The sequence below is a fragment of the Homo sapiens genome, chromosome 9, assembly GCF_000001405.40.
Source record: "Homo sapiens chromosome 9, GRCh38.p14 Primary Assembly".
Classification (NCBI taxonomy): Eukaryota; Metazoa; Chordata; class Mammalia; order Primates; family Hominidae; genus Homo; species Homo sapiens.
This window is the reverse complement of record NC_000009.12, coordinates 23,794,804-23,822,269: the sequence shown is the minus strand read 5'-3', so window position 1 is coordinate 23,822,269 and position 27,466 is coordinate 23,794,804. Positions and strand designations below refer to the sequence as shown.

Genomic DNA, 27,466 nt, shown 5'->3' with positions numbered 1-27,466 from the left:
CCCCTTGGCTGCGAAGTAGGGGGAAAAAGAGAATTTTTAAAAGAGACACACATATGTGTGTATACTTATATATATTTATAAATACATTTATGAACACATAAAGTAACCCCCACGTTAGCTGCTCTGACTCCCCGTTAGCGCCCCGGGCCTCGGGATTTGCAAACTTGCACCTGGAATCAGCCTCCTCTGGGCGCTCAACGCTCTCCACCGAGTCCAGAGAAACCTTGTCGGGGAAGCCTGGTGAGACTCGGAAGTCCGGAGGGACGGAGCTGAGCTGCTGAAGCCCGGCATCTCCCTGCCGGCACGGACCCGAAGGGCGGTCGGGCAGGGCACGCGCCGGCGGCGGCCGCGGCGCCGCGAACTCGCCGCCGGCCCCGCCTCCTGGCGCTCTTCCAAGCAAGCCCCTCCTTCCCGCCCCGCTACAAACGGCGGGACCGCGGCGCCTGGGCGTCACTGAGGCAGTAGCCGGCCGGGTGAGGAGGGCGGTTGCCGGCGCGGCGCGGCGCGGCGCGGGTGGGGCGGGGGTTCCGCCGGCTTCCAGTCCCCTTTCCCGCCGCCGCCGCCGCCACCGCCTCTCCGCGGAGCTCGCCCCGAGCGACTCCTCCGCGGCAGTGCTGACGGCCAGCGGCACGAGCCGTAGTAGCTGCAGCTTCGAGTCACAGCAGGCAAGTGCTGGGGGCGTGGGGGCGGGGACGGCGTCCGCGCCTTGCCCCTGGTCCATTTTGGACGCCGAGGCTAAGGTCTGTGCGCGCCCCCGCTGCGTCTAGCAGGGTAGGGGTGGTGCGCCCTAGTCCGAACTCTGGGCGGGAACACTGGTGGGGGCGGCGGAGGTTGTGCCCGCGAAGTTCCTAGAGCTCAGCCCGTTGCGGCGGGAGTAGAGAGAATTGGGCGCCTCGGGAGGTGGCACCGCCCCTCCCGTGGGCACAAGCAGGTTGGGGGCGGCGGGAGCCGAGCGGGGACAGTCGCGCCTGGCAGCGTGCACGGGCGTGGACGTGCCCGGGTGCGGCCGCGTGTAGCGCAAGAAGGAAACTGTTGAGACGCAGGTGAGTGTATTGGAGGGAAAGTGGGGGAGGGGGCTTTTCTAGAAAAAGGGCAGGATTCCTGTGTTGCACTGGCAACCCCGCCTTGCGGGAGGATGTGTGCACTGGCTTCTCCCGCGGAACACGCCGGGGTGGTGTCTGGTGTGTGCCCACTTGCTACGGCGCCTTCGCGCGCGCGGTCCTTGGAGCTCTCGGGGCGTTTGGAGACTTAACACCGGCCGCGTTGTGTGCGGAGGTGGTGTAGGGCCGCGGGCGCCCAGGGCAGGAGCAATGATGATCCCCTCGTGCGCGTTAGGTGAGGCCCGTCGCAGCCGCGCGAGGTCGCAGCTCGCGGTCACATCTCGGGTTTGCGCGCGAGGCGTGCGCTGCGCGGGAAGCGCGGGCGCTCTGCCGGGCGAGGCCGGCTCTGGGATTTCAGTTCGCTTGCCGTGGTTGCGGCAGCTGCTCCTCCAGCTTGGCTGGTAGGGCCTGCCAGCGGCGGCCGGGGTGCACGGACTAGTGTGCGTGCACTGGTGAGACTGGGGGAGCCAGCGTCGGTTCACTGGCAGGTGCTCCTCCAGTGGCCGTGACAATGCTTAGCCAGCAGTCTTTCTCACGGCATTTCCTTAAAAGCCTCCTTGTTATCCTTCAGGGCCAGAGCGTAAAACCATGCCTCTAGATGCGAGCTATGAGCATGCAGTTGTAGCTGCCCAGATGGTCATTTAGAATTGTGTGCATTTTTAAAGACCATCTTTATGACAAAGATTTTCAAGTCCTATCGTCTCTACATTTTCTGAAAACATGGGAAAAGGATTTGCTACGAGTTGTCCACTCTCCTTTATTCCCTCCCTCAAAGAACGGTTCTTAGAAGTGCCAAAATGTAATACCTTCGGCAAGGACAAAAGCGCTTTTAAAACTTAATTTTCTAGTGGCCCTATTCCTAATAATTCTTCATAAAAATTTAGCTCAGCCTCAAAACTTACGGCGAATCAGTCCATTTAAAACCATTCGAATATCAATTGCTGTGTAATGTCCCCATTCCCTCAAGTAAAATCTGTTTGTTTGAAATATTGTTTTGTTGCCCTTGAAGAGTTTTCTCAAGAATCGTTTCGCCAGAGTCGCTTGAATTTCCCATTTCTTGTGGAAGCTGACCTGGAGTTTCCATTTTGGTGAGCGGGTGGAAAAGCTGTCCTGCATCTACCTTGTCTTAGTAACCTTTGGGTATATATAAATGGTGACTGTATTGCTGAGTGGACCCGAATGTTACTGCATTTGTGGTAGGGGCCTTCTTTATAGGAGGTTTGTAGGGATGCTAAGGTAACAACACTTAAGGTTGTGGGGAGGATATACTTACGGGAAGTTCGCTTGCAAACTATGGGGAGAGAAAGAAGAGGAAGAAAACATCTGGAAGATAAAGGCCAGAATGGGGTAGGAAAAATTAGAATATGAAGAAACATGTTACATTAAATTTTCTGTGATTCCTCCTTTGTAATTTTCCTTTTTGAGAGAGTATTTTTATTTTTGTGTGGTTAAAACCAGCCCCTTGTTGCCTGTTATTTGGGTAACTTTGTGCTGCCACCTTTCAGGGAGTTAGTTGTTTTTTTCTTCCTTTGAAAGACAACTTTAGGTGTTAAGCCCCTCCCTCTTCCTTATCTGTAGGTGTTTCCTTCATTGTGTAGTGTCTTCTTTCAGGAACAATCAAGTCAGCTATATTCAGTGCTCACACACTTTCCCTGTGGTTCAAGATAATTTTAGTTATAGGATATGCTTCTTGTTTAGAGCAAGTACCCACTGCTGGTCAGTGTCTACCACTCTTTTGACACTCAGTGTCAAAAGGTTACTATGGAACCTTTTTTCTTTTCTAGGCCTAAGATGTGTTTTTATAGATCCTCTCTGATTTAGTTTTTTTGGTTGATTTGTTCTGGTTACCGCCTCTTCACAAGAGAAAAACAAAGCCTTTCTGTCCCAGTTTCAGTGGTTTTAGTTAAGACTCAGCTCCTGGTAGGTTAAGGGAGAATGATGCTGTGAGTGTCATATACCATCATTCCTTGAATCAACCTTTTGATTATTTATACACAGACAGATGCTGCTAGCTGAATCCTTGTAACCAACCGCTCTTGGCTCTTCCAGCCTTCCCTGCTTATCTTTTAAAAATAATGTGCCTCCCCTCCTGCCACCCCACTTCTATTCTAGAAGCAAGTCTTAGGTTCTCTTTAAGGACACAGCAAAGCCTTCCAGAATATCCTGACTTTTAAGCTGGGATCAACCTTTTCCTCTTTCTTTGCTGAAAGACATTTTTTTAAAAAACCTGTGACGCTTTTCAGGCATTATTGGCATTGCACAAGAGCACCACAGTGGCAAATTAGCCTTCATGTTCTTTTTCCCCAAAGGACTAGATACTCTGAAATAGCTTCTTAAGCTTCTTATCAAGACTGACTTTACCATTCCCCTTTTTGATGACTTGTCTGCATGGTAGCATCAGTATTTTCGCTCCCATTTGATGTCTTATTAAATCTATCACATCGTCACATTCTTATTGCCACTTTTATCACTCATAATGTTTATTTGGAATTGAGAGAGGCTAGAATCTGTGGTACTTAGCTTGGTTTGGTTACTTTTTTGTTGACATTTTAAGGGGGCTAGATGGTGTGCCACCCTGTGGAAAACCTGCCCATCTCAGTCTACCCCCAGCTCTTTGTTTCTTGGCTACTCAGCTGGACAGGTCAAAAATGATAGTAAGCTACCACATTTGAGTGTGTGTGGGGGGAGGTTAATTTTATTTTTGGCGTGAGTACTTAGTTATGGGCAGGACTGCTTTTCCAGCTTGTAACCGGTATGGTTGCACATCCTACCCAATCTTGAAATTCTTAAGAATTTTTGGACAAGGTTACCCTGCATTTTCATCTTGCACTGGGACCCACAGATTACGTAGCTTTTCCTGGTTAGTTGCCTTCCCACTTGTTAGTATTTAGCTGTCAGTATTGCTGCTTTGTTGATATATTATAGAACTGTTTGAAGGCTTTATGTCTAGTGATGCCACACCTGACTATCAAATTCACTATGGAGGACATAAAATGCATAAAATTTTTTCTTGCTTTGGCCATTTTCATTTTACAGGTGTAGAAGTCTTCACCGGTTCTGGTTACGCACAGAGCCCACATATTGTAGTTCAGTGCCAAATCCACACTTTTGTATGTTCTAATTTGGGAAGAACATTTATTGTATATTTATTTGGTTCGAGATACTAGACGGTTTATAGTGCTAGTTAATTATTTAAGGATTTCACATAACGTAAATTTGCCAAGTGGAAACAGAAGACACTTAAGCTTGAAAGGCAGTGCTTATTTTAAGGCTTTTACATATTAAAAGATAAGTGTTTTATTATGATTTAAATGATAACTTTTGGAGTCTGAATTAAAAGTCAAAGTTTGCGTAATAAAATCTTAGATTTTTGTGGGGTACTTAGGACATTTTTCACTAGTAAATTTAACAGATTTGGCTTTCAGCTTGTGTGATGTGTATCATATGTTTCATTTTAGTAAGGCTAGAAGAATTTTTTATTTCAAGGGAAGAATTTTTTTTATCTCTAAGCTTGTATTCCATTGTGCAAAACAAAACAAAAGGTAACTCTTGTGTGAGCAACGCTGTGCTAAATGCATTCTCATAGACATCTTCATCTTTAATATCAATGTTAAGTTTCTAGAGATTGGTCTTAATAAAAATAACTATTTTTGCAACGAGCATTCTTTTCTCAGAGCTTTGAGTTAGGCTCTCAATGCGTGAACTGAATTGATATGCTTAATGACATGGTACCTTTTTGAATATTGCTGAATAGTTCTGTGTGACAACAGATACAGGTTTTCGTTGTAAGAAATCTTTATGAAGAGAAGGATGGGGGCTTTGAGGAGTAAAATAGGTAAAATAACCCAGAAAGTCATAAGAATAGGTGGAATGGGGATAAAACTAAACCAGTTTATAGAATGCCTTACAGTGTCTTTTTTTTAAATAAACTTGCAGTTTCTTAGTATATATTTATATTACTGATATCTATTACATCAGTTTCTGACTGAAAATGAATAGGAGATAAGGTCTGACATGCAAAATCCCCTTTCCCACTTTTAAAAATGTATTTTAAAAAACTTGACAAATTTAAAATTATACTTACTGTAAGACAGTAACAGTAAAATGATAGGTTTTTTTTTTTAAGACACAGTGAAGGTTTTGCTTTAGCACTGGTATATTTTGAACCAGGTATGTTATCTACAGTTTGATGTACCTGTATATTTTTCCGTTGGCCAATCTAATACAGATGCTCCTGATAAACCCATTGCAAGTTGAAAATGGCATTAAGTTAAAAATGTATTTAATACGCCTAACCTACTGAATATCAGAGCTTAGTCTAGCCTACCTTAAACATGCTCAGAACATTTATGTTATAGTTGGGCAAAATCATCTGGCAACACAGAGTATCCATTTTTCACTCTCATGATCCATTGCCTGAGTGGGAGCTGTGGCTTGCTACCATTGCCCTATATCGAGAGAGTCTCTTACCATAGACTGCTAGCCCGGGAAAGGATCAAAATTCAAAATATAGTTTCTCCTAAACGTGTGTTACTTTTATATCACCATACAGTTGAAAAATCGTAAGTTTGAACCATCATAAATTGGGGACCATCTGTAGTGATAGATTTAATCCTTGGGTTTTTCCTTTGACTTAAAAAGTTTATCATGAAAGGGAAATTTATATTCTAAATGTTCTTTTCTTCCAGCATTTTGTTTTTGTGGGTTGTTCATTATTGGAGATTATTTCAGCAACTTTAAAGACTATGTTAATAGGATATCACAAAAATCTTTTATAAATATCAAAGCAATAAACTATTCCTTCAAGATGGATTTTTATCCCCTTTTTTTTTTTTTTTTTTTTTTTTTTTTTACTGAAAGCTTTTAGTACACACTTTCTTGACTAATTTCATCTCTTTATGGGACTAGGGAATGATAGTTGTTTTGAGATTCTTAGCTTTCCTGCATTTCTTTAGAGTCATTGTAAAATTGGAAGTTCTTGTTAATATTGAGGGGCTAGAATCTCTTTAAGCATTTGAAGAAAGCTGTAGCTGTCTCTTCCTAGAGAAATATATACAAATAAGAAATTTCCATACAGTTTTTAGTATTTTGCACTTTGGAAGAAAGCGTGTTAAAATGAGGTTCCATTTGGGAAATAGGACTTTGGCAATTAGAGTTGTCTTCTTATACTAGTGAGAACTGGGTGAAGTCATTCAGAGGTTCTTGTCTGCTGTTGAGTTAGTGATGTGGGCCTTTAGCATTCTTTGAAGGATGACTGACTCTAAGCTTTCCTGTCTCATAGTTTGTTTTAAAATCCATTCTGTTTTTGTAAACAAATAATCACACACATAAGGTCTTGTGATCACCGTGCCCGTGCGGCCAATTTGCTGAGTTGTCTCAGTAGGTTTTGTCACTTAGGTTGAAATTCTTAATTTAGCACAGCCAGGTGGAAAATAGTAGGCTAGAAGTCTGAAGTTTTCAGCATCTGGTTTGGTTTAATTACTTATATCCTTGGTTTCTTAACCTTTGATTGTGTATAAAATCTTACCCTCCCCATCTCAAGGACCACGTAAAGATGAGCATATTGAAGTACAAGATTTTTTGACAATGAAATGACATTGACTGAATTGGAAAGGTGGTAGTAGGTGGTTACTGCTTGATTAGTTTTATATTTTTGGCTTTCAATGTGTTATGAACCATTTTTAGTGATTTTGTTTTTTTATAATACACCATCATATGTTTATTTCTGCCATGAAGTAAAAGAAAAATCCCAGACTGCAGGGAGGATTTGGGAGAATTGTGACTTTGGACATTTCAGTATGGAAATAGACATATTTATACCTATGATGATGGGACTTGGAAAGTTTAAAATGCATTTTCCTTGAAAATATAAATAATGCTAAAAGATTACATATGAGACTGAGAATTTAGCCAGCTAACATTCCAGGAATATAAATTTCTTAATTTAAATTTCTCATATTTTTTTCAGTGAAAAATCAAAATTTTAAATTTAACCATTTATATTAAAATAGTCCGCGTTTTCTCTGATTTGAATTTTATTTAACCTCTTATCAAGGATCCATTCCTATACATCACAAAATGGAGTTTACATAGAAATACATTTTTTTCCCCTCATTGCTGATGGTGTGAACATCATTGATGGATGCCCTGTCAAGTAAGTTATTGGAAATTGCTCACTTGTTCAGCTTTTAAAGGATGTTTAGCACTTTTTTTATTCTTTAGGCATCATTTGTGTATATCAGAATAAAGCAAATCACAGTGTATCTGAAAATAAATTCAGTGAATTGGGTAAGGATGGGAAAATATTTCTGGAGCACTTGATCTTGTTTTCTCTGAGCTGCTTTTCAAAAGTAAGAATTTCTTGTTATACTGATATTGCTTTATTGGAGGTGATATGGCAGGTGAGGGGGTCATCCACCTTTATTGCAGAGGTATCCAGAATGTGTTAAATATACAACATTTATTATAGAGGGAGCAAGATTTTATAACCTGTTCCCAGGTAAGGCCTATTTCTATTTGAGTTTATTCAACACCACTTTTGATCTCCCCAGGTGCTATTTACTGATTGCTGGCTTATTTTGTTTAAAAACCCTTGGGGTCTTTTCTGTCCTGTGCCTCTGAATGACCCATGGACTTTTCCCAAATACGAGGTCATCAGTGCTTTTGACTTTCATCTCTTCCCTTCTCCATAGTCTCCGCAAGGAATTTGAACTACCCACAGCCTTCCTCCCCTCTTTGGGATGCGTCTGTACTTGCCCTCTGTCCCTTGTTTATCCTTTTAGCCTTGTGCTTAGTTCCAGGTCCTGGTAATTTGGGGTCAGGTGCAACCTGCTCACTTGTCCCTTTATTTTCTTATCCTGCTTGGGCTTTTGCATTGGCTCTTATGCACTTTGTTACATTTTACTTACTGAAGAATATCTTCTGTGACCAAGTGAATCACTGATACCAGAAGGAGCAGTTGGTATCAGTGGACAAATTATTTGTGCCACAGGTCCTGAAGGGTGATCCGTGAGCTTCATATGGCCTATAGGTGTTTTGATTGCCCTGAACTGTGTTTTAAATAGTTGTGAGTTGTTGATTTACGGTTTGGTAATATATAAAGATCTGGAGCCAAATGTATTGCTTCTTGAAAACTTGGAAGGATGGAGCAACAACAATGGAGTCCACATTTATCGACTGCGCCTTAAGGATGAAGCATGGCTTGTTTCACTTTGACCTTGGTTTGTTTGCCTGGCCTTGGTGTCTCTAATGCTATACTTCCTAAAGCCACGTGAATTAAAAAGTTAAGTGTAAAGACAAAGGCAGTAGTTCTAAAGGTTTTATATTCGTTTGATCTCTTGTATTTACAGATAATGTTTGAATCATGTTAAACTGCTCCTTACATATTTAGATCTTATAGTCTCCTTTACTTCAGAGAAGATTTGTCTTGGGTCTCTCCTTCCTTAACCCGTGGTTGAAAAACAGTTTCTCCTTTTATAAAATGAGCTTCTCTCAGCTTAACTTACCTTTTCTCTCCTCCCCCCCTGGGATTTTAGAACTGTCCCCATTGGGAGTAGGGATTTCTCCCTGCCAGTTGCCTGCTTCTATTTATTCAGATGCTTTGGGGTCAACATTGCTACTTGATGCTGTAAAAACTGATAGGATGTTATGAGCTGTTTAAAAGAGGCCTGTGGCCCACCTGCTAACCTCATTGCTGATGTTGTGAGCTTATAAATGACAACAGATTTATAAGATTGTTGTAAAAAAAAAAAAAAAAAGCCGATATGAGACTTCCAGGTGTGTGGTTTATGTGTGTGTGTTATTTCTCTCCCTTTCCCCTTTATTTTTTTCAGTCTTCAGCCTTTTCTCCCCCACTCCAGAAGCAGCAGGGCAGCCTTAGCAAGGCCCTCTCCTATGTGTGCCGTAGAGCAGACTGATGCACCAGCAGAAGTAGAAAGAGGCTCCACATGTCATGTTTGGACCAATGCTGTAATTTTATTTTACAATAAGGAAGGTGGATAATATTAATCTACTCCTGAGCATAATAGCACAATTTGAATAGCAGAGAGCAACTTTGGTGTGTGTTAATGTCTAGTGAGATGAATATAGTTGAATGCTAAGTAGGTAGAAAATGTCAGTGTGGAGCCTTCCTTTTGGTGACTTTAAGCACTTACATTTCTAGTTAACTTTTGTTCAGCCTGGTAAATAGATATGAAGATCTGTTGTATCAACCCAGCATTAATGTAGCTTCTTAGGATGGAACAATGCCCATAAAACCCTGCTCTCCTGGCAGCCACTTCAGCTAGGCCAGTTATAACGATGAATCAGAATGTGCCCCTGTATTGAACATCTTAGCAAAACCCTTCAGAATAATAGCTTAATGTTGGCAGTTTTAAGCATTGGCTTACTCTACAACCCAGCCAATTTTTTTTTTTTTTTTGATATTTGGAGTGTTAGTATAAGTGTATGCTCACTTAAAAACTTAATTTTGAATTAACTGTGTATGATTTTAAAAAATCATTGTAGGTACATTTGGAACTTATTTTTCAGAGGCACTTAAAAATTCTTGGTACCAAGCATCTTCTATTCTATGATTATATGATTCTTTTAGGTGAACGTGTTGCTTGTTTTTGATGCTCCCTGCAGCATCTCATTGCGGCACCTCAGGGTGGCTTAGTTACTGGGTTGGGGTGGGGAATTGAATATCAGTAAAAACAAGCATGTTTTATCCCCCTAAAGATTGGGAGTCATTCCCGTGGAGCTTCTACTGTGCAATAAGAATGACTTTGATATATGTGGGCTGCTAGTTAACTTGAAGCTTAGGGCTTTTCCAAATTAATCTAATTTTGTTTTTGAGTTTGTTGAAGGATCAATAAAAATATTCTTCTAGGTTTTGTGTTGAGATTATGTTCAGAAGCCAGGAAGATTGTGTAATACTTATTGTTTCATCACAAATTACTGAGTGCTGGATACTGAGAACGTTGAGACTTGTATAAAGTGCCCTTTACCTCATATTCCTTGGTCTCTACCTAAGGAGATGAGGCAGAAAATGATAACTTAAAAAAAAATCACACACTCCCCACTCTTGCATTTAATAGTAGAAACTGAGTGCTTGAGGAATTAAGCAAAGAGATATATCCCTGTTGTCTGGGAATCAAGGGATCAGGCCAGGTTGTTGCTTATTGCTTTAGGGACAGGACTGTGTCTTTTCTTGGTCCATTTTGTCTATTTTTTGCTTTTTATGTCTTATTTCCCTCCCCCGTTCCTCCCATATTGTTTTTGTTACCTTTGATTTTCTTTTATGGTATGAGTAACTATTTCCTAGTTTGCCAGGAGCTCAGTCACAGGTGAAAAGTATTTCTGCAAAACCTACTCAAGTTTGAGGGTGTGGCTAGAGAGAGACAAGCTGTGACTGTCTTAATTCCACTGTTGTCCCAGAAGAGTAGATCTGAGGCACGTTGTGTTTCAAACTACATGAAGCTGGGTGTTTCCCCCAGAGTTTTATTCTGTTGACAACATTATGTGCCAGCAGCCTCCTCTGGGTATAACATTTATTTTTCAAAACACCTAGGAAAAAGTCAAAATAATTACAACTTTTTTGACTTCCTCCCTTTTGGGAATATAGTTGCAGGAGCAAGAAGCAAGTAACAGGACAGAAGCTGGGGTGCTTTTCAGAGCATTGATCTATGCCTTCTCCTTGCGTCATCTTCATGGCTAAGGCCATGTCTTCCAGGAGCATGTGTTGTCTGGGCTGCTGACTATGGCTTTCTCATGCCAGTGCTTGGTGTTCTGAGGCCTGGCCACTGCTTTTCTCCCTTAATGGCATTTGCATTACTGTTTCGTGGGTTTTTTTTTTTTTCCTTGAAAGGTGATCGAACAGCTTGTACGCTGCGTTACCTTTTTGATTTAGTGGAGAGGCTCATTCCTTCAGTTGGAACTGGCTGTTCGGGGAATAATTTGTGTTCTTGTTTCTTGGACTTTTTGAAAAAATTTTTTCCCAAACAGTTTGGCTGACTTATAAACATTGTTTTGTGGATGGTAGGGTGAAATCTTTGGTTTTAGAGTGAATAATAGTTTGTGACCTAGACAGGAAGAGTGAAGACATCTGTTTTGGTTTTCCTTTTGTACAACTTCTATGGTAACTTCCAAATGACTCTCCCTTGAGAATGCAACAGTAAGAAATTTTGTGTTGGACAGTCAAGTTAGCAGTGGATTGGGATGGGGCAGCAGGGATCTGCCACTTTTTAGTTGTTGACTTACCATTAGGAAGATAGAAAAATACGTGGAGTTGGCAATTGAAGATGGTGAACTACCACAAGGTGATGGAACCAGGAGACACGGAGCATTTCCTCTAGTAATGGTGATTAACACCAAGTTTTTCTGTCCTTATAGAAACTTGCCACAGCTCCCTGGGAATGATGTTTTATAGGTGAGGAAAATGAAGCTCAGAGGTCAGGTGGTTTGCCCAAGGATACAACCAAGTGGGGAAGTAGGATCAGGTCAGACTCCTAGTTCTGTACCTCTTTCCATGGATCCCAGAATGATGTTCTTTCTACTTTTGGTAGTTCTGCTGGCTGTAGTTTAAGGTGGCTGAAATCAGATCCAAGAAGCAACTCAGTTTTCATGTTTGAGAATGTATTGCTTCTCTTAGGGGTGTTTTGAAATAAAATGGTGTGACTCCAGCAGCAATTGTATCTCACCTCCATATTAAATTGCTTTAGAGGCTGTTTGGTTCCCCAGTGGTGGGGTTGTTGTACCAGGATTATTTTTTATTTTTATAATTTTTTTTAAAGCTTCACTGTGGTCCCTGTAGCACTCCTAGCAGTATGCCCACAACTTGTTCCTCAGGGCCAGGATTCTGACCTTGGATTATTTTAGGTCCATGACTGGGTGACTTCTGGAGGCATTTCCATCACAGGCTGGTGACTTTCTGATGCCAGCTGGCATCCTTGACTTGCAGGATTACTTTTTGGAACCATACAAAGTATGGATTGGTTATTTTCTGTAAGCAAGGAAATGAAGACACTGTCTTCAGGCTTTTTTTAGGATGCTGTTAAAATCAAGAAAAAGGTGAAAGTGACATTGAGATAACCCTGGCTCATTGTAGTAGATAATCTGTAAGGGCTGTTTTTTGAACTTGTTAAGTTTATGAAAAAAAATGTGTTCCCAATCAGGCAGGATTTTAGAAATACTACTTTTTGTTCTGAGAAAAAAATGGCAGGTCAAGTGTTCAATAGGATGTTTGATATCCAAATTGGAATAAACAAAATATTCACCCAGTAAAGATTGTTCTTGATTCACCTTTCTCCAGTAAGTTTTCAGTATTTCTCCAACTTTACTGTTTCTCCAACTTTACTGTCAGAAAAATTGGTTGGGAGTGGATGACAAAGAATTACAGATTCAAAATGACCTTTTTGCTCTTCCCTAGAAAGAGGCCATGTGCTCTTTTTCATTACTTGATCTCTCACATAGTGTGTTTTTAGGAGAAATTCAGGAAAATTTGTGGAGGTCACTGGAACAGCAGAACTCAAAAGTCTGGAATAGAGATAATAATTTAAAGAAAGAATATAGTACATGAGACTGATAATCAATTGAAAATTATTTGCATATGTAAGTAAATCATGAATGATAGGTAATCTTACTAGAATTTCAATCTCTACAGGGAAATTTTTGCAAAAACTGCCTTAACTAATCCCATGTTTTCTCATGTCTTAGATATGCAATTTTTATATTACTTTTGAGTCTCTTAAGTTTACTTAATGTCCTGATTCTATGTCCCCCAAAGCTGTGAGGTTAGTGGGTGCATCTTTCAGTCCAAATGTCTTAGAATTGAGAAGCTGAAATAGCTTCATGCCAACATGTTCTCTGATTTCTTATCTCTGCAAATATTTTACTCTTCCTAGAGTATAAATATTGTCCTTGTGCTATGGAAAGCTGGTGTAAACGTGAGAAAATAAGGTCATCAGATTGTCTCTACATATTTCAAGCAGGTGCCTCTGGTATAAAATTGGCCAACAGGCTATGCACAAAGCAGTCAGGTGGGATCCTGACAAGGCTGCTCCGTACTGGTTAGCTGTAATTTAGAATATCACAGGATGAAGCAGAAGTTAATTGTTGAGGGTGAAAGCTCAATAGCATTTTACTCATCATCACATTTTATAGGACATAGTAACCTTAAACTTTGACCTTAATACGTATCATTTCTCTTTAATTTTTGTTGTGTTTCCTTAAATTTGGCGAAGACTACCAGAGATTTTGTTGGGTAAAATGCTTTGTAGCTCCCCAGTTCCCTATGGAATTCAGAAGCATTAAGAGATCCAGGGACTTTGTTAAGTTTTGGGTGTTATAGTTCAGACTCCTTAAGGAATTTTCTGGAACTTTACCCATAAGGAATTTTTCATTATGGCTAACATTTCTTTCTCTCTCTCATTCCCTGTGATTATTCTCTGTTATCGTCTCAAAGAAATGTGGCAATTTGATGACAGTTTATTAAATAGCCTATGAATATTTGAAATGTTTACATCTAAAGTTTTTATTAGTAGCCACTTTAAAACTTTAAACTTATCTCTCTTTTCCTAGCATTTAACATTTTATTATTTTATTGTGTCTGGCCTCCTGACATGAATGGCATTTTGCTCTTTTTGATTGTCCTTCTATTCAGTTTTTGATTTGCTGATCCAGCCTTTTCTGCCCCCCAGTACTTTAAAAGCAATTATTTTGCCAGTTTACATGTGAACATTTCTTGGTTTCCTGTGCAGATTTTCATTTGTTTAGTAAATATTTGTGATCTTGCTATATGCCACATATACTACCTTAGGTATTAAGACTATAGTAGTGAATACAGTATACTCCCTGCTGATATGAAACTTAGAGTTTATTGGAGGAGATATTATGTTAAAGTTCTACAAATTATTACATATAATTGTGATTTGTGCTGTGAAGGAAAATAACCTTTAAGGCTTATAACACAGTGTGGGAGGTGATTAGTGAAGATCATTTGTTGATTTCCTTCCTAGCTACCTTATTTTTACTGTACATAAAAACAGACTAGTTTTTAATTTTATAGGCATAAGGATAGACAGAGGTCCTAAAATTAAACTCTATTCTCCTTGATAAATTGATGGTGAACTTTGAGTCCTAGAGCTGATTCCTGCCACCCAGCTTCTATCCCACCATGGATCTGGCTTTTTATATTTTTTACGAGAAACCGATTTTAATGTTCTTTGCAGGACAACGTAATTTGGCAACTTTTACTCTGAAAGCTATGTGGTGAATGCAAAGCCCAGCAGTGAGATCTGCATTGTCTAAATCCTTTATTCTCTTTACCCATGGCTTTGAAAATGTGTTGGATTTTGAAATATTATCAGTATTTGTTTAAATAACACTTTCTAATGTATTAATTGATGCAGTAAGAACTTAGGAATATTTGTTAGGCTTTTTGCTTGGCGGAAATTAGAATTTCACTAATTCATCCACAGTTGTGTTTTGTCATTGATTGGATTATTTGGTTTGTTTATGAATGACCTTTTAGATAATCCCTTTGACAGATCACCCCATTGCTTTACCATATTGTGTTCCTTCCAGTATTCATTTAAATTATAACTAAAAGGAAATACCATATTAATTGGAATTGTTTTTAAAATATTTGTTGGAGTGGAAGAGACTTAGGCAGTTTTTTTTTTGTAGAAACTTTGGAAGACATTTGTTGTTTAAGAGTGTCGAAAAATACTTTTTAAAAAAATGTCAGTGGCTTCTGTGGAGTTCCTTAATCCTAAAGGGCTAGGTATGTTCGTAAGAGATGGGTAGAATATGGGAAATTACTCTAAGCAATTGGAAAAGACACGGAAAAAAGGTTAAGGAAAATGAGGAAGTGAATTTTCCATCTGGCTAGTTTCCTCATTCACACAGATCACCAGACCTAAACAGTACAGTGAATGCATGGCAAGGATATGATATTTTAAAATAGTGTCTTTCTGACCACCTTATTAGATTATTAAGCTTACTTGACTAGGCTCTTAGTTTCCTCAGAGAGGTGGACTCTGGCAAACAGTTTTATTTTTAATATAAGCTGGTCTTTAGGAAGATAATAAAAACTTTGCATGCCTTTTAGCTTATACCATTTATAATTGTTTGATTTAACATGGATATAGCATTTTTTTGTAGGTGGATATTATTTCATCACAGCTTTTAGATTTCAGCCCCTTTTCCTTAGGTGCAGAAGGAAGCTACTGAAAATATAGACAGTAACCTCTACTCTTGATGGAATTTGGAGAGAAGTAAACCAAGTTTTAGTTCAGGAGAGGAGAATTTTAATTTTACTTCTGGCATTACAGGGACAGCAGGTATGAGAGTTAAGGAGCTGTTACGGAATGGGCACTTGGGGTAACAACTTCCCATTGCCTTTGGTGTCTGGTCTCTCCTTAATAGCTTTTTATATTGGTTTAAATTTTCAGGGCACAACTTAAATGTTACTTTCAACTACATTGGAAGCTCTTTGATGTCAGTGATTCTTATAACTTTGTTTTCTGAATATAGTGGGTCTTATTGTCTTATTACTGATTTTTTTTTTTAAGAGATTTAGTCTCACTGCAGTGGCATGATCATAGTTAACTGTAACTTTGAATTCCTGGGCTTTTAGGGATCCTCCAGCATCAGCCTCCTGAGTAGTTGGGTCTATAGGCATGCTTTACTGCAACTGGCTAATTTTTAAATTTTTTTGTAGAGATGGGGTCTCACCATCTTACCCAGGCTTGTCTTGAAATCCTGGGCTCAAGGGATCCTTCTGCTTTGGACTTCCAAAGTGCTGGGATTACAGACCTGAGCCACCTCACCTGGCTAGTCTGATTTCTTGAATCTAATAGGTCCTATGTCTTTAAAATGAAGATTAAAATTATATATGCTGAAGGTAAATGTTACATGCAAGTTTTTTTCTTTTAATTGTGTATTCGGCCTTGGTATTTTGGTTGCTATGAAGTTGTATAACTTACATATTTAACCAATTGGAGTTAATAAAAATTGTTAATATTTAAACTATAGCAAACATTTCTATGTTTTTTAGATATCACTACTATATGATGGTAATTAAGTGCTGGATACTGAATAATATTTTAAGATGACTTTATTAAAGTGCTATTTCTTTTCATCCATACCTGTGAATAATTAAGAATTTATGGTATCTGTTTGCAGTCTAGTTGGTGAGTTTAATTTACTTGGACCACCCAGAAAAAAATATACAATGATGCTTCTGTAACCACTTTGACTAAGCTGAAACTATGCTTTTTACATGTATTTATGACCTGTTAATACCGCTTCAAAGTGTGCTGTATTGAAAAGATATTGGCTGCTTCAAGGTTGGACTGAAATGACTGTGTTTGCCAGGAATAAGGAGGGGTCTCCATGGATGACCACTGGGCCAGTCATTTAATAGCCATGTGGAACCCTCTTCGGCTATCAGAAGAATGTTTTCTGCTCTACACTGAGTATCTTTGGAAGCAGATAGAGAAGTTGAGGTCTAAGGTAGATGCTCTAATCATGGATGGCTAACTTTAAGAAGCGTTATTGGGCCAGGTTCTCCTGTGGTATATGCCAAGCTCATGCTCGTGCATGGGTACACACACAAGCCCAAGGTACAGTAGCAGCTCCATCTGTTTTGTATGTTGTAGGCCTGCCTTGACATAGAACTGTTCGTTCTAAAGCAACTCATTTTAAAGCTGCAGTATGTTAAATGGGCAACCCTTCATTGAAGACCTTGGGTATGTTGGCAGTTTATCAGCAGCAGGGTTGTGATCCTGTCACTTCTTGTTAATGAAGGCTTTTATTTAGCTTAGCAAATCATATCTCTTGTTAGTATCCACTCTCTCAAATGGTAGACTTGAAAGGGATGTTTGTACCGTTTTATTTATTAGTAGCCATGAGGGTGCTTTGGCCCTTACTTGTTATAGCCATTTAGCCATATTTCTTTTACGGAGATGTGGTTTGTTTTAAACTAGGAAAATCCCCAAATGATTAACGTCTTTCTTTTGTTTATCATTTTTGAAATGGCTTTTTATATTTCCTATTAGGTGGTCTTTTTCTTCAGTCTCAATTTCACTTCCATTTTGAAATTCCTAGCAGGGGTTTGTCAGAGCATTTATGTTCCCAGTGTTGCAGCTGACTTTCCCAGCATTTATTTGTTGTCCTTGGGTAGTCCAAGAGGATAAGCATTCTGTCTTCATATTTAATGTACATTTCTTATATATAACAAGTTCAAGGACATCAGAGAATGTTAGAGCTGGAAAGGCCCTACCCATAGTGTTGAACAGCAGTCTCATTTCATATACATTCAGAACTGATGCTAAGATGTATTGTCTAAAGTCTTAGGTATAATGATTGTGGTTGGTGACTGTGACCTTGTGGCTGGTTCCCGACTTGCCTTTACTTCCCCCAGTGCCCTCTCTACACTGCTGCATTATTTCCTTTTTAAAAATGTAGGTTATGCTTTGGTGGGACTGCAAACTGATAAGTTTTCAGAAGTTTTTTTTGGCAGTGACTAGCGTAATTAAAAATGCAAATAGACTACAAACCAGCAATTTCTATCTTTAAATTTACATTTTTGCTTTACTGTATAAGGTATCTATTGTAAGCACTGTTTGAAATAGCAAAACCTTGGAATGTTCATCAGTAGGGGATTGGTTAAATTAATCAGGGTATATATCTCTATTATATAGTATCTGTAAATAAAGAGTATGTGCTGATCTTGAAATGTAAAAAGCAAGGTTCAGAGAGCATTCAAAAAGATCTATGTATTAAGTATTTACTTTTCCTCACCTGTGCCATTACATGTTTGTATTTTCTTTGAAAGTGTTCAAAGTGTTCATGAAATTGTTAACCTCTCAGGTGTAGATTTGAAGAAATTAAATATTTCTGTCTTTTATTGCTTGAACCCAGGAGGTGGAGGTTGCTGTGAGCCGAGATCATGCCATTGCACTCCTGCCTGGGCGACAGAGCGAGACGCCGTCTCAAAAAAAAAATAAATAAATAAATAAATAATAAATCCATCTTTTAAACAGTTCTGTGGTTATCTTTTTGCATCAAATATATATTTTTTAATTTGCACAAATTATTATAATAGAATTACTAATTACTTCAAAAGCTGATCCCCCTTGGGCTTTTCAGAGCATTTTAATAGATTTGCACTTTTCCTACATATGAGCTGTTTGTTAGCATTCAGTGCCTGCCTTGAGCTGAGCGTTGTGCATGGTCGTTGGGTGCTCAGAAACACTAGGATGTGGATGCCACTCTCAAGTTCTCCAAGTCTGGTTGACAGTCCAGAGGAAGAAAACGTGAGTTTATGGGAGTTTGGTGAGGTCTGCTGCAAACATTGGGAAAAGGTTCCTGAAACCAGGTAGATGTAGTAGCACTTGTGAAGCTCTTTTATACAGATAGGGGGACTTGTCCCCCCACCCCACCCGCAACCCCCCAGGAGAAGAGGATTAAGTGTGGTGTACTCCTAGCATGTAAGGAAAAAGTTTTGATTATTGGAACATGGGTGGGTTTCTAGAGGACACTGAAATCCATACAGGAACATTTCTCTTATTTTGTTTGAGAGAGCCAGCCTTGGGACAATTTTACAGGATGGCTTAGTGTGAGGAAAACTGAAGCAAAAGACATGGGCTGATGTGGCTAAAGGGGCCTTGAGGAGGAACGCACCAGGGCTTTGAGAGGAAGATGGAGCATGCATGGCTTCCTGACTAGGGTGTAAACCCCCAAATGAAAGTGAAAAACTGCTTCTGGCATGCTTTGTATTGTGTAGGAGAGACTCATAAGATACTCAAGCATTTTTCTAAACCAGTGTAAGTATGCAACATGAAACATGTAATAGCTTGTTATGCTTTATAAAGCATCTTTTCTGAGAACCAGAATATACAGTTATATTCATGTTTCCCCGACAATGTTTATGTAAAAATTTTACATTAAAGGCAGTTGAGATGATTCACGTTTTTTTCTTATAAATCAGGGTAGTACTGGGCATGAGAAGTAGTTTACATAGTCCCAGAGCTGGAGGAACATCCCTTTGAAGGTAAGGAGAGTAGTTGGAAGCTGTTCTAAGGTTTATCTATATGGGCTAAAGGGATTCACCATAAAGGCATGCTTATGTAGCAGTGAATTAGACCAGTAATTCTCAAAGTTCTTGATCAGAGGATCCCTTTGTACACTTAAATTATTGAGGACCCCAGGACCTTTTGTTTGTTATGTGTATAAATATTTACTGTATAAGAAATTAAGATGAGAAAGTTTAAAAACCTGTTTAAATAGCAAACCCATTACATATTAAAAAATATTTTTAAAGTGAGGAATATGTATATTTTTAAAAAGTAAGGCTGGCATAGTTTTACATTTTACATTTCTTTAACGTCTGGCTTAATAGATCTAGTCAACTGTATTCTCATTGCAACAGACTGAATGCAGAAGCAAGTGTCACATATAACCTTTAGAAAGCTCTACTGTACATTTATGAGAGGAAAAGGCATTCTCTTGACTTCCCGGATGTATGAGGAAGTCTCAGAGGACTCTTAGGTTCCCAGGCTATGCTTTGAGAACCACTGGATTAGCCTAATGGATTCTTGGAAGGCAGGGCTAGGCCCATCTGAGTCTTAAAACTTGGAATCTGTATTGTAGGGAGGAGTGGGCAGTCATCTTTCTAGGGGAGGGGTAAATTTAAGAATAAAGCTGTGGAATTGGAGTACTTTGGAGGTAAGATTGTCTTCAGGAGTTGAAAACTTGAATGCTATGACCAGATTCTATCACTAGCAAATTCTATCACTAGAAAGTTTGGCCAAGTCTTGGGGCTTGCTTTCTCTGTCTAAAAATTGAGGCTGTGGGCTAGCGTTTGGAAGTCCCTTGTAGCACTAACATTATTAATGTATTTTTTATAGCGCTCTTGACCCTTTCTATAAATACATGCCCACACATCTACATACAACATACTTGGAGCACGTTGGAAGGTCACATGAGCTAAAAATGCACCTCGGAGTAGTTCACCTGCTCCATGCATTTTCTTCTTCCTGTATTGGTTTCATTGTCCTAGTTTGTTGCTCAAGTAGACATTGACTAAATGGTACCCAGGATGTGTATAGAATCTTAACCTCTTTCTTCAATTGTGGAACACATCTGCACTTAAAAAAACAAAACGAAACAGATAAACAATCTTCCACTGTATTTATTTCAGCTTCCCGCATTAGTCGTGAGATTAGGTGGGTAAGGAGGAGGGAGGTGAGGTGTCATCTAAAACCACCATTGTCAATCAGGGCTCCACCTGTCAATTCCTATTTGCAGCGCTTGTTAGAAGAAAACTCTGTGGGAGTCCCTTCCCCCTTTAAAATGCAAAATGGGGTGTTGGTAGTGAAGGGTGCCCATTTATTTTTCTGTGTATGATTCCACATTTAATATTGTAATAGAATTAATTTCTTTCTAGTTTCAAATGTGCTGATTTAGACATTTTCTGCATTTTAGTTTGGATAACTAATGCGTGAACATTCTGTTGTCAGATGTTGACCTTTATACACCCTAACTGGATCAAGAAATGTCAGTAACAGTGACATCTAGCATTCTTAATGATGTTGATTTCTGTTTAAAACTAAAGTCCCTTAGCTAGGACACTTCTGTTGGTGAGATCATTGATACTCTGGGATTTCTGCTTGCAAGAAATTTACTTGTCTGAAAACTGAGTAGCCCTTGAAGGCAAAGACACACTTTATATTCCAATAGCTCCTGTACGTAGAGCTTAATATTTATTGAATGAATGACAGTATAACTTTTCCTTTCAAGCACAACATTCAAGAGAAGAAATATTAGTTTTTCATTTTGAAATCCCTTGTAGCTTTAAAAAATCTTCTACCTGAGAAAATTTCTTTGAGTTTAAAAGAAATAAAGCAGCAGTTAAGTTTTAAATGTTATTTTAAAACATATTGAGCCTATTTCCAGTAATGTTTTTGTATTTTGTTCTAGGCTCTTAATATTTATTTCATACTTCAGTATTCCTGGGTGCGTGTACCTACTTCCAAACAGAAAGTTTTGAGAAATAGTCTGGAGGGCTTCTGTGTCTGTTAGGTAGCTCCAAATTGAAATAAAATATAAAAATGGAAGACGAAGGACAGTTGCTGTACAGTTCACAATTAGCCTTAATTTGTAGATCTCTGCTGGGCCCAGCTGTAAAGTTTATTGGTATAAAATGTGTTCTTGATCTGGAAAGCCCTCAAATAAGGTGCCTTGCTTTCCAACAAGCAGGAAGGAAATGTTAATGCCAGTTTTCCTGTGGCTTCTGTTTAATGTGAATAGGATCCTCTGAGGAGATTTAAAAAGCGGCTCATTGCCCTTGAAGGCACCCGTATCAGATGAAGATAGATCTAAATTCGTATTTGAATAAAAAATTTCATACGTCATCTGTTTTCCCAAACTAAATTTAAAGTTTAGTTTTAAACTTTTACTGTAAGTTATTTTAAGTAAGTCAAATTTTCTAATTTTGTAGATTCATTTGCTTGAGAAGCATTCTATACTGATTCTCTACTCCCCAAAACCAAGTAATCTGAAGTAGTTTTCCAAAGTTGGGGATAATGACCTATGTTCTTTGAAAGAATTCTTAAAATTTCCATCTGATATCTTAAGCATATAGGGCTGTAGTGCATTTCACTTCATCCTTGAATAAGAGGGAAGGGGGCTAGGCTGGACATGTTCTGCAGCTTGTGAGGTCCTTCTCCTCATGTAAGCATGGTGCCATTTGCTCATTCTGGCTTAGTAGAGCTGCTCTTGGGCACTACCATCCCGGGTTGTGAAGGGTGCACTTAGGCCCCTGCATGAGCAGATACCCTGGGTTACACATTTGGTGTTAAAATAAGCTGAGAAGAGGAATAGGAACTCTACTGTTTTAGGACTTGATTGTTACACCTCCAGTTCAGAATTTGGGGTCCCTATTCAAAGTCACTCCACCTATCCAAGCCTTCGATGTCTGACCTACAGAATGGGAATAATGAAAGGTTGATTGTGATGCTTTATGGTGAAGCCCTCATTATTAGCTACTTTCTTTTCTCATTTTTGAATTGGGATTCTTTGGAAGACCAAAGAAAACTTGCCTTAATGAGGTTATTTTAGGAGAAATATTGGACTTTAAGGCTTTTGTTTCTTTAATGCTTTGTTTCTCTAATACTCTTCAAATCTTGCATAGGGAAAGATTAGGTCTGTCCCCTGCACCCACCCACAGAGTCCTTGGACAGCTGTGTTTAAAAGTGAGGGCTTGGTTTAGGTTTGCTGGGAGACCTCTTAAAGCTTTTGGGAAAGGAAAGAGAATGGGAAACTACAAAGGGCTTAAGATTTTTCTTTTCAGTGGTAAATAGAGCCCTTTCAGGGTTTTCTAATTCTTAATAGATTTCTTGCCCAACTGTGGTCTCTTATTTGGTGTGTTAGGTCTGTAAAGAAGCTTAGTCTAGCAGGAAGCACCTTGGGTGTGGTAAGGCAATTAGGGGCTCTCAATAGAAGATGCACTGGTGACCTGCATGTCTTTCAAACTAGGGTGTTGGCTGCTGGGAGTAGCAAGAGTTACTATTGAGCATCAGTGACAAAGAATTAATCTTATTAAGTTGGAAATGGGGCTGGATATTGTAATTAGATGTGAGAGACCCAGTGATCAGACTTGAGGATTGTAGGCCCTCAAAACTCTGCTTTTCCCCACTCACGTGGTGGGGTGGAGTAAGAGTACAAAATCTTGTTTTTTATGGAGGGACATCTAGGTTCTAGTCCAGGTTTCACCCTGAGTGCCTTAGGAAAATACTCACTTTTCAGGTCCTGGGTTTCTTATCTCTTAAAATGCGGGATGGGAAACAAGGTAACAGATAGGATTGCTTTTCTCCTCTAAAGATCTGACTAGGTGATGTTAGAACCAGGGGAAGGTTTGGTGCTACTCCTGACTTCGCTTGTTAAGAAGTCATAGGCGAGAGGTACTCCTTTGTATTTTGGGTTTTTTGGTAGGTAGTTTGGAGATAGAGATGGAAAAAAATTTTAAAAAGCTTCTGTGAGATTGCATTAGATTTTCTTAGGCTTTCTAGTCATATTATGTCTGTCTTAATTGTGTAATAATTAGCACTTTAGGAAGGCCATTATGATAAGGGTTTTAATAGTTCTTCCATCCTTCACTTTACATGACCACCACCTGGGAGAAAATTTTGTACACATATCAAGGAAGAAAATGATCAAGTTTTGGATTTAAGAACCTAATTGTTAAGTCTTGATTAAATGATGCCTATTAGGTTGTAATTATATCTATCTATAAAAAACAGATGGTGGCAGATTTGATTGCTGCATTTCCTGAAGCAGTTTTTTAAGATAATGAATTTAATTACACGTGTGCCTGGGAACCATTTTAAACCATCGAGAAGGGAAAAATGGACAAGGCCTATTGGAAATGGAAAGTGTTCACCTAGGTGTATAGCTTTTAGCTTGTGGTTTTGAAGGATAGGAACAGAAAAATCTGACTCCTCCCTCGTCTCCCTTCCCACACACACCCCCTACAAAGGCAGAATCCATATTCTGATACTTTATATGAAATGTTACAGTAACATTTATCAGATGTCAAAGGGTATGGCATAGAAGTGGTTGTGTCAGCATAATTTGAAGGCTGCTTCTCTGTGCCAGGCACTGTTCTCAGCAGTCTACATGGATTCACTCACTTGAGTTCTTACAAAACTCTGAGATGTAGGTGGTATAATTATCTCCCCACCCCCGCCATTTTATAGGTAAGGAAATGGCACGTAGAGTGATTTAAGTTACAGGCCCAAAGATGCAGTAAATGACAGAGCTGGAATTAGAACTCACGCAGTCTGGCTTCAGAGTGCACAGTAACATCTATACTGGAATTCTCTCTGCCCAGGTGTTAGAACTAAATTATTTAATCAAATAAAGGGTCCTGTTTTGCTGTTGCGACCTTTTTGCACTAATATTATGAACTGTCTCCTCAGATAAATAACCTTGCAGAATTTAGGCACATTTGAGTTAGAATCTTGTAAGAGACAGTTAAAGGACAGCTTTGGCTCTGTCATCCTGCCTGAAGGTTTCAGTGGCTCCCTATTGCTTACAGAACAGATTTCAAACACTTTCAGGCATTCAGAGTTCTCCCTTCTTTGCCGGATGCAATGTTTACTTCATGAACTAGCCAAATAACTTTTTCTCTTGATCATGACCCATGAATTCTTATCCCATACTTTTTTTTTCTTTTCTTTTCTTTTTTTTTCTTTTGAGACAGAGTTTCACTCTTGTTGCGCAAGCTGGAGTGCAATGGCGTGATTTCAGCTTACCGCAACCTCCGCTTCCCAGGTTCAAGAGATTCTCCTGCCTCAGCCACCCGAGTAGCTCGGATTACAGGCATGCGCCACCACGCCCACCTAATTTTGTATTTTTAGCAGAGGCGGGGTTTTCTCCATGTTGGTCAGATTGGTCTCAAACTCCAGACCTCAGATGATCCACCTGCCTCAGCCTCCCAAAGTACTGGGATTACAGGCGTAAGCCACCACGCCCGCATCCCATACTTTTTATTCACTCAAGTATATCATTATGGCAAACCTAAATCGTACACCTGGTGTCCTTTAAAAAATCTCCTCTCAGTCCCTACCTTTAATTATTTCTGTCATTATCTACCACCCATGCCCCTCCTGCTACCAAGCACCCTTTCTGTTTTAAATTCCCAATAGCTGGCCTTTGGGATTTTATTGAAGTGTATCATACATGAGATTTACCAGATAACATGAAGATGACTTACACATTTCTTCATTTAGTTTGTGTTTATATTTACACTGTTCCTGTGATGTGCTAGGGACTTAGCATGCATTACAATTTAAGATCAGTTTAATGATATTTAGAAAGCCGTGCTGTTTTTGTAGTGCCTTTACTGGTTGTATTTTTTTGAAAACGCCTGTGTTTTTCTTTTAAACAGAGGATAGAGGTTCACTTTTGGGCTTAAGTAGAATTAGTAGGATTCATTCTGGATTTTGGTTCATTTTTGTCTCGAATCTTAAACTCTTCAAATCCTGTTGTTAGCTGCTCAGGACTCAGCTGGGCAGATGGTAGCTATTGTACAAATTAGGACATTGAAGCATAAAGGTCAGGTTAATTCAACCTGTGTCCATTTAGCTAAATTGGCTACCATGTCATGCTTGTGAGTTGGACTCTGCATCAACCAGCTTTGCAGTCCATTGTCCCTGTCCTCATTCTTTATAGTTAGCTATCTCTCAAATGCATCCTTACTATTTGGAATGAGGAAAATGGGGTTAAAATGAAGAGATAAGCAAGTCAGAATCTATTTTCTCTAGTATATTCCATGACTGATATTGAATCAGTAGAATAACCTATACAAAGGACGAAGGGCAAGGGCAATTGTTCTCAGGATATCTTTTACATATTTGGGATATTACTCTGTTTTGAAAAAAAATTATAGAGCTATAATTAAATATCTTCTTGTGCAGGGAACTAACTCTACGTATAGATTTGGCAATAATAGTGTCAAGGCTCTCCGTAAGGATGGTGTAAACTCTAGATATCTTACTTATAGACAGCCATTGCCCTAGTGAGGCAAGTCATGCATCTTTGGATCATAATGACTAAGCAGCAGAATTTTAATCTGGCAATTTTGTGGGTTTACCGTTAGAGTGTGAAGCTGTTTTTGCCTTTTGGCAGTATTTTGCTTTCCTCGAGATGATCTCAGCTTTCATTAAGATTTCATCTGACTGAAAAGATTGATTTTTGAGTAGGTGAGAGTCCTTTTATGTGATGTCTCAAAGGACAGAGTATGGGTCAAATCGCTCTTCAAATGGACAGTAATTGTGAGGAAGAGGCTTTTTAAATGGAGATTGCAAGTTACCCAAAGGTTATTAGAAGTAAGAGCTTTTATATGTAATAAGCTTCCACATTTGTAAATAACAAGAACTGTAATAACCCAGTGAAAGCCCCATAACCAGGGCTTGAACCAGAGTTGTATGTTAACAATGATCACCCTTCTAACTCTAGTGTTTTATAGTAGGACCTAGAAAGTTCATCATTTGTCTTTTGGTTTAATTCTTCTTTGGATTGCAGAAGTATATTACTGTTCAAATTTTTGTTTCTCATAAAAATTAAGAAACAATTGAAGGTCCAAGGACCAAAATGGGTACACTTCGTTTTCATAATATTCCAAAATCTGGTGGGAAACAATATTGATCAAGAAAGTAATTTAAACATCCACTTATGCATTTTTCCCCCGGTTTGTAAGAAGGTGGTGGTGCTGCAGAGCGGGCTGTGAAGAGGAGTCAATATTAAAAATGATTGTTTAGCTCTTAGAAATTATTTCCTGGAAATGCTAAATAGCAATAAAATCAACTTTCAGGGAGGAGACACATTGCCATTAAATGTCTTGTTTTTGTCTCAGCTTTGTGATGAACAAAGGAATATTCGTTCTTAAATATGTGGAATCTTGAGATTTTAAATTCCATTTTAATAGTGGCAACTTAAAATTTCTTCTCTGTAAGAGGTTCTGTATTTTATGACAGTCCTATTTTTTGAGACATTTTATATATCAATGACTATGGACGTAGTATTTTCCAGTACTTACAATGTTGTTTTCCCCATTTATTTTTTATTTTTATTTTTTTGAGATGGAGTCTTGCTCTGTCTCGCTCAGGCTGGACAGCAGTGGCGTGATCTCGGCTCACTGCAGCCTCCGCCTCCCAGGTTCAAGCGATTCTCCTGTCACAGCCTCGCGAGTAGCTGGGACTACAGCCATGTACCACCACACGAAGCTAATTTTGTATTTTTAGTAGAGATGGGATTTTACCATGTTGGCCACGCTGTTCTCGAACTCCTGACCTCAGGTGACCCACCCACCTCAGCCTCCCAAAGTGCTGGGATTACAGGCATGAGCCACCACGCCCAACATTTTCTCCATTTCTTAAATAGACACTGGCAGGATCTTAGGTTCTTAGGGAATCTTATATAAAATATAAACAAACTACCCACTTAATTATAATGAGCCTGTGGTCTATAAAGATAAGGACTTAATTTTTCAAAGTTGTTGACTTTGAAAATATTGCTTAGAAATGTGTTTTTTAATGTCTGAAGAGCAGTAATATTATTTTACTCCTTTAGTTTGTTTTGATAGCAGTTGATCAAAAGCTATTATAAGGCATGTATACAGATGTTTTGTAGGTGTGCATAAGATAAAATAAGGTGGGAAATTTGGTTAAAGAAGTGTTCATCTTCTTTAGCTTTAGTTAAATTTTATTTTTCTAGGAGCTGTATATACCTAATTTGTATGGTCCTGGCTCTCTACTTATTATTAAAACAAGAGAAGATGGAAGGATTAATGCATACTCTGCCATATTTTATCTGTATTC

At 39.2% G+C, this 27,466-nt stretch overlaps 1 protein-coding gene across 44 annotated transcripts in view, besides 2 other annotated features; it reads left to right on the top strand.

The window, feature by feature from the left end:
• ELAVL2 (ELAV like RNA binding protein 2) overlaps positions 1 to 27,466 on the top strand; it is a 160,498-nt gene that overhangs the window by 28,332 nt on the left and 104,700 nt on the right. For 8 of the 44 annotated variants that reach the window (NM_001385693.1, NM_001171195.2, NM_001351475.2 and 5 more), the window contains exon 1: positions 450 to 665. The exons of 26 other annotated variants lie outside the window; for them this stretch is intronic. The gene's annotated coding sequence lies outside the window, so the exon portion shown is untranslated. Of the gene's footprint in view, positions 1 to 449; positions 666 to 960; positions 1,044 to 1,113; positions 1,336 to 27,466 lie in introns of those variants that run through there. 10 more of the 44 variants (NM_001385703.1, NM_001385702.1, NM_001171197.2 and 7 more) reach the window with 2 other exon arrangements.
• Positions 310 to 1,195: an enhancer, noted in NCBI's record as "H3K4me1 hESC enhancer chr9:23821073-23821958 (GRCh37/hg19 assembly coordinates)". NCBI's record gives its function as "activates a minimal SCP1, AML or CMV promoter by ChIP-STARR-seq in naive H9 embryonic stem cells {active_cell/tissue: H9 hESC(naive)}" and the evidence as "EXISTENCE:reporter gene assay evidence [ECO:0000049][PMID:30033119]".
• Positions 1,196 to 2,082: an enhancer, noted in NCBI's record as "H3K4me1 hESC enhancer chr9:23820186-23821072 (GRCh37/hg19 assembly coordinates)". NCBI's record gives its function as "activates a minimal SCP1, AML or CMV promoter by ChIP-STARR-seq in primed H9 embryonic stem cells {active_cell/tissue: H9 hESC(primed)}" and the evidence as "EXISTENCE:reporter gene assay evidence [ECO:0000049][PMID:30033119]".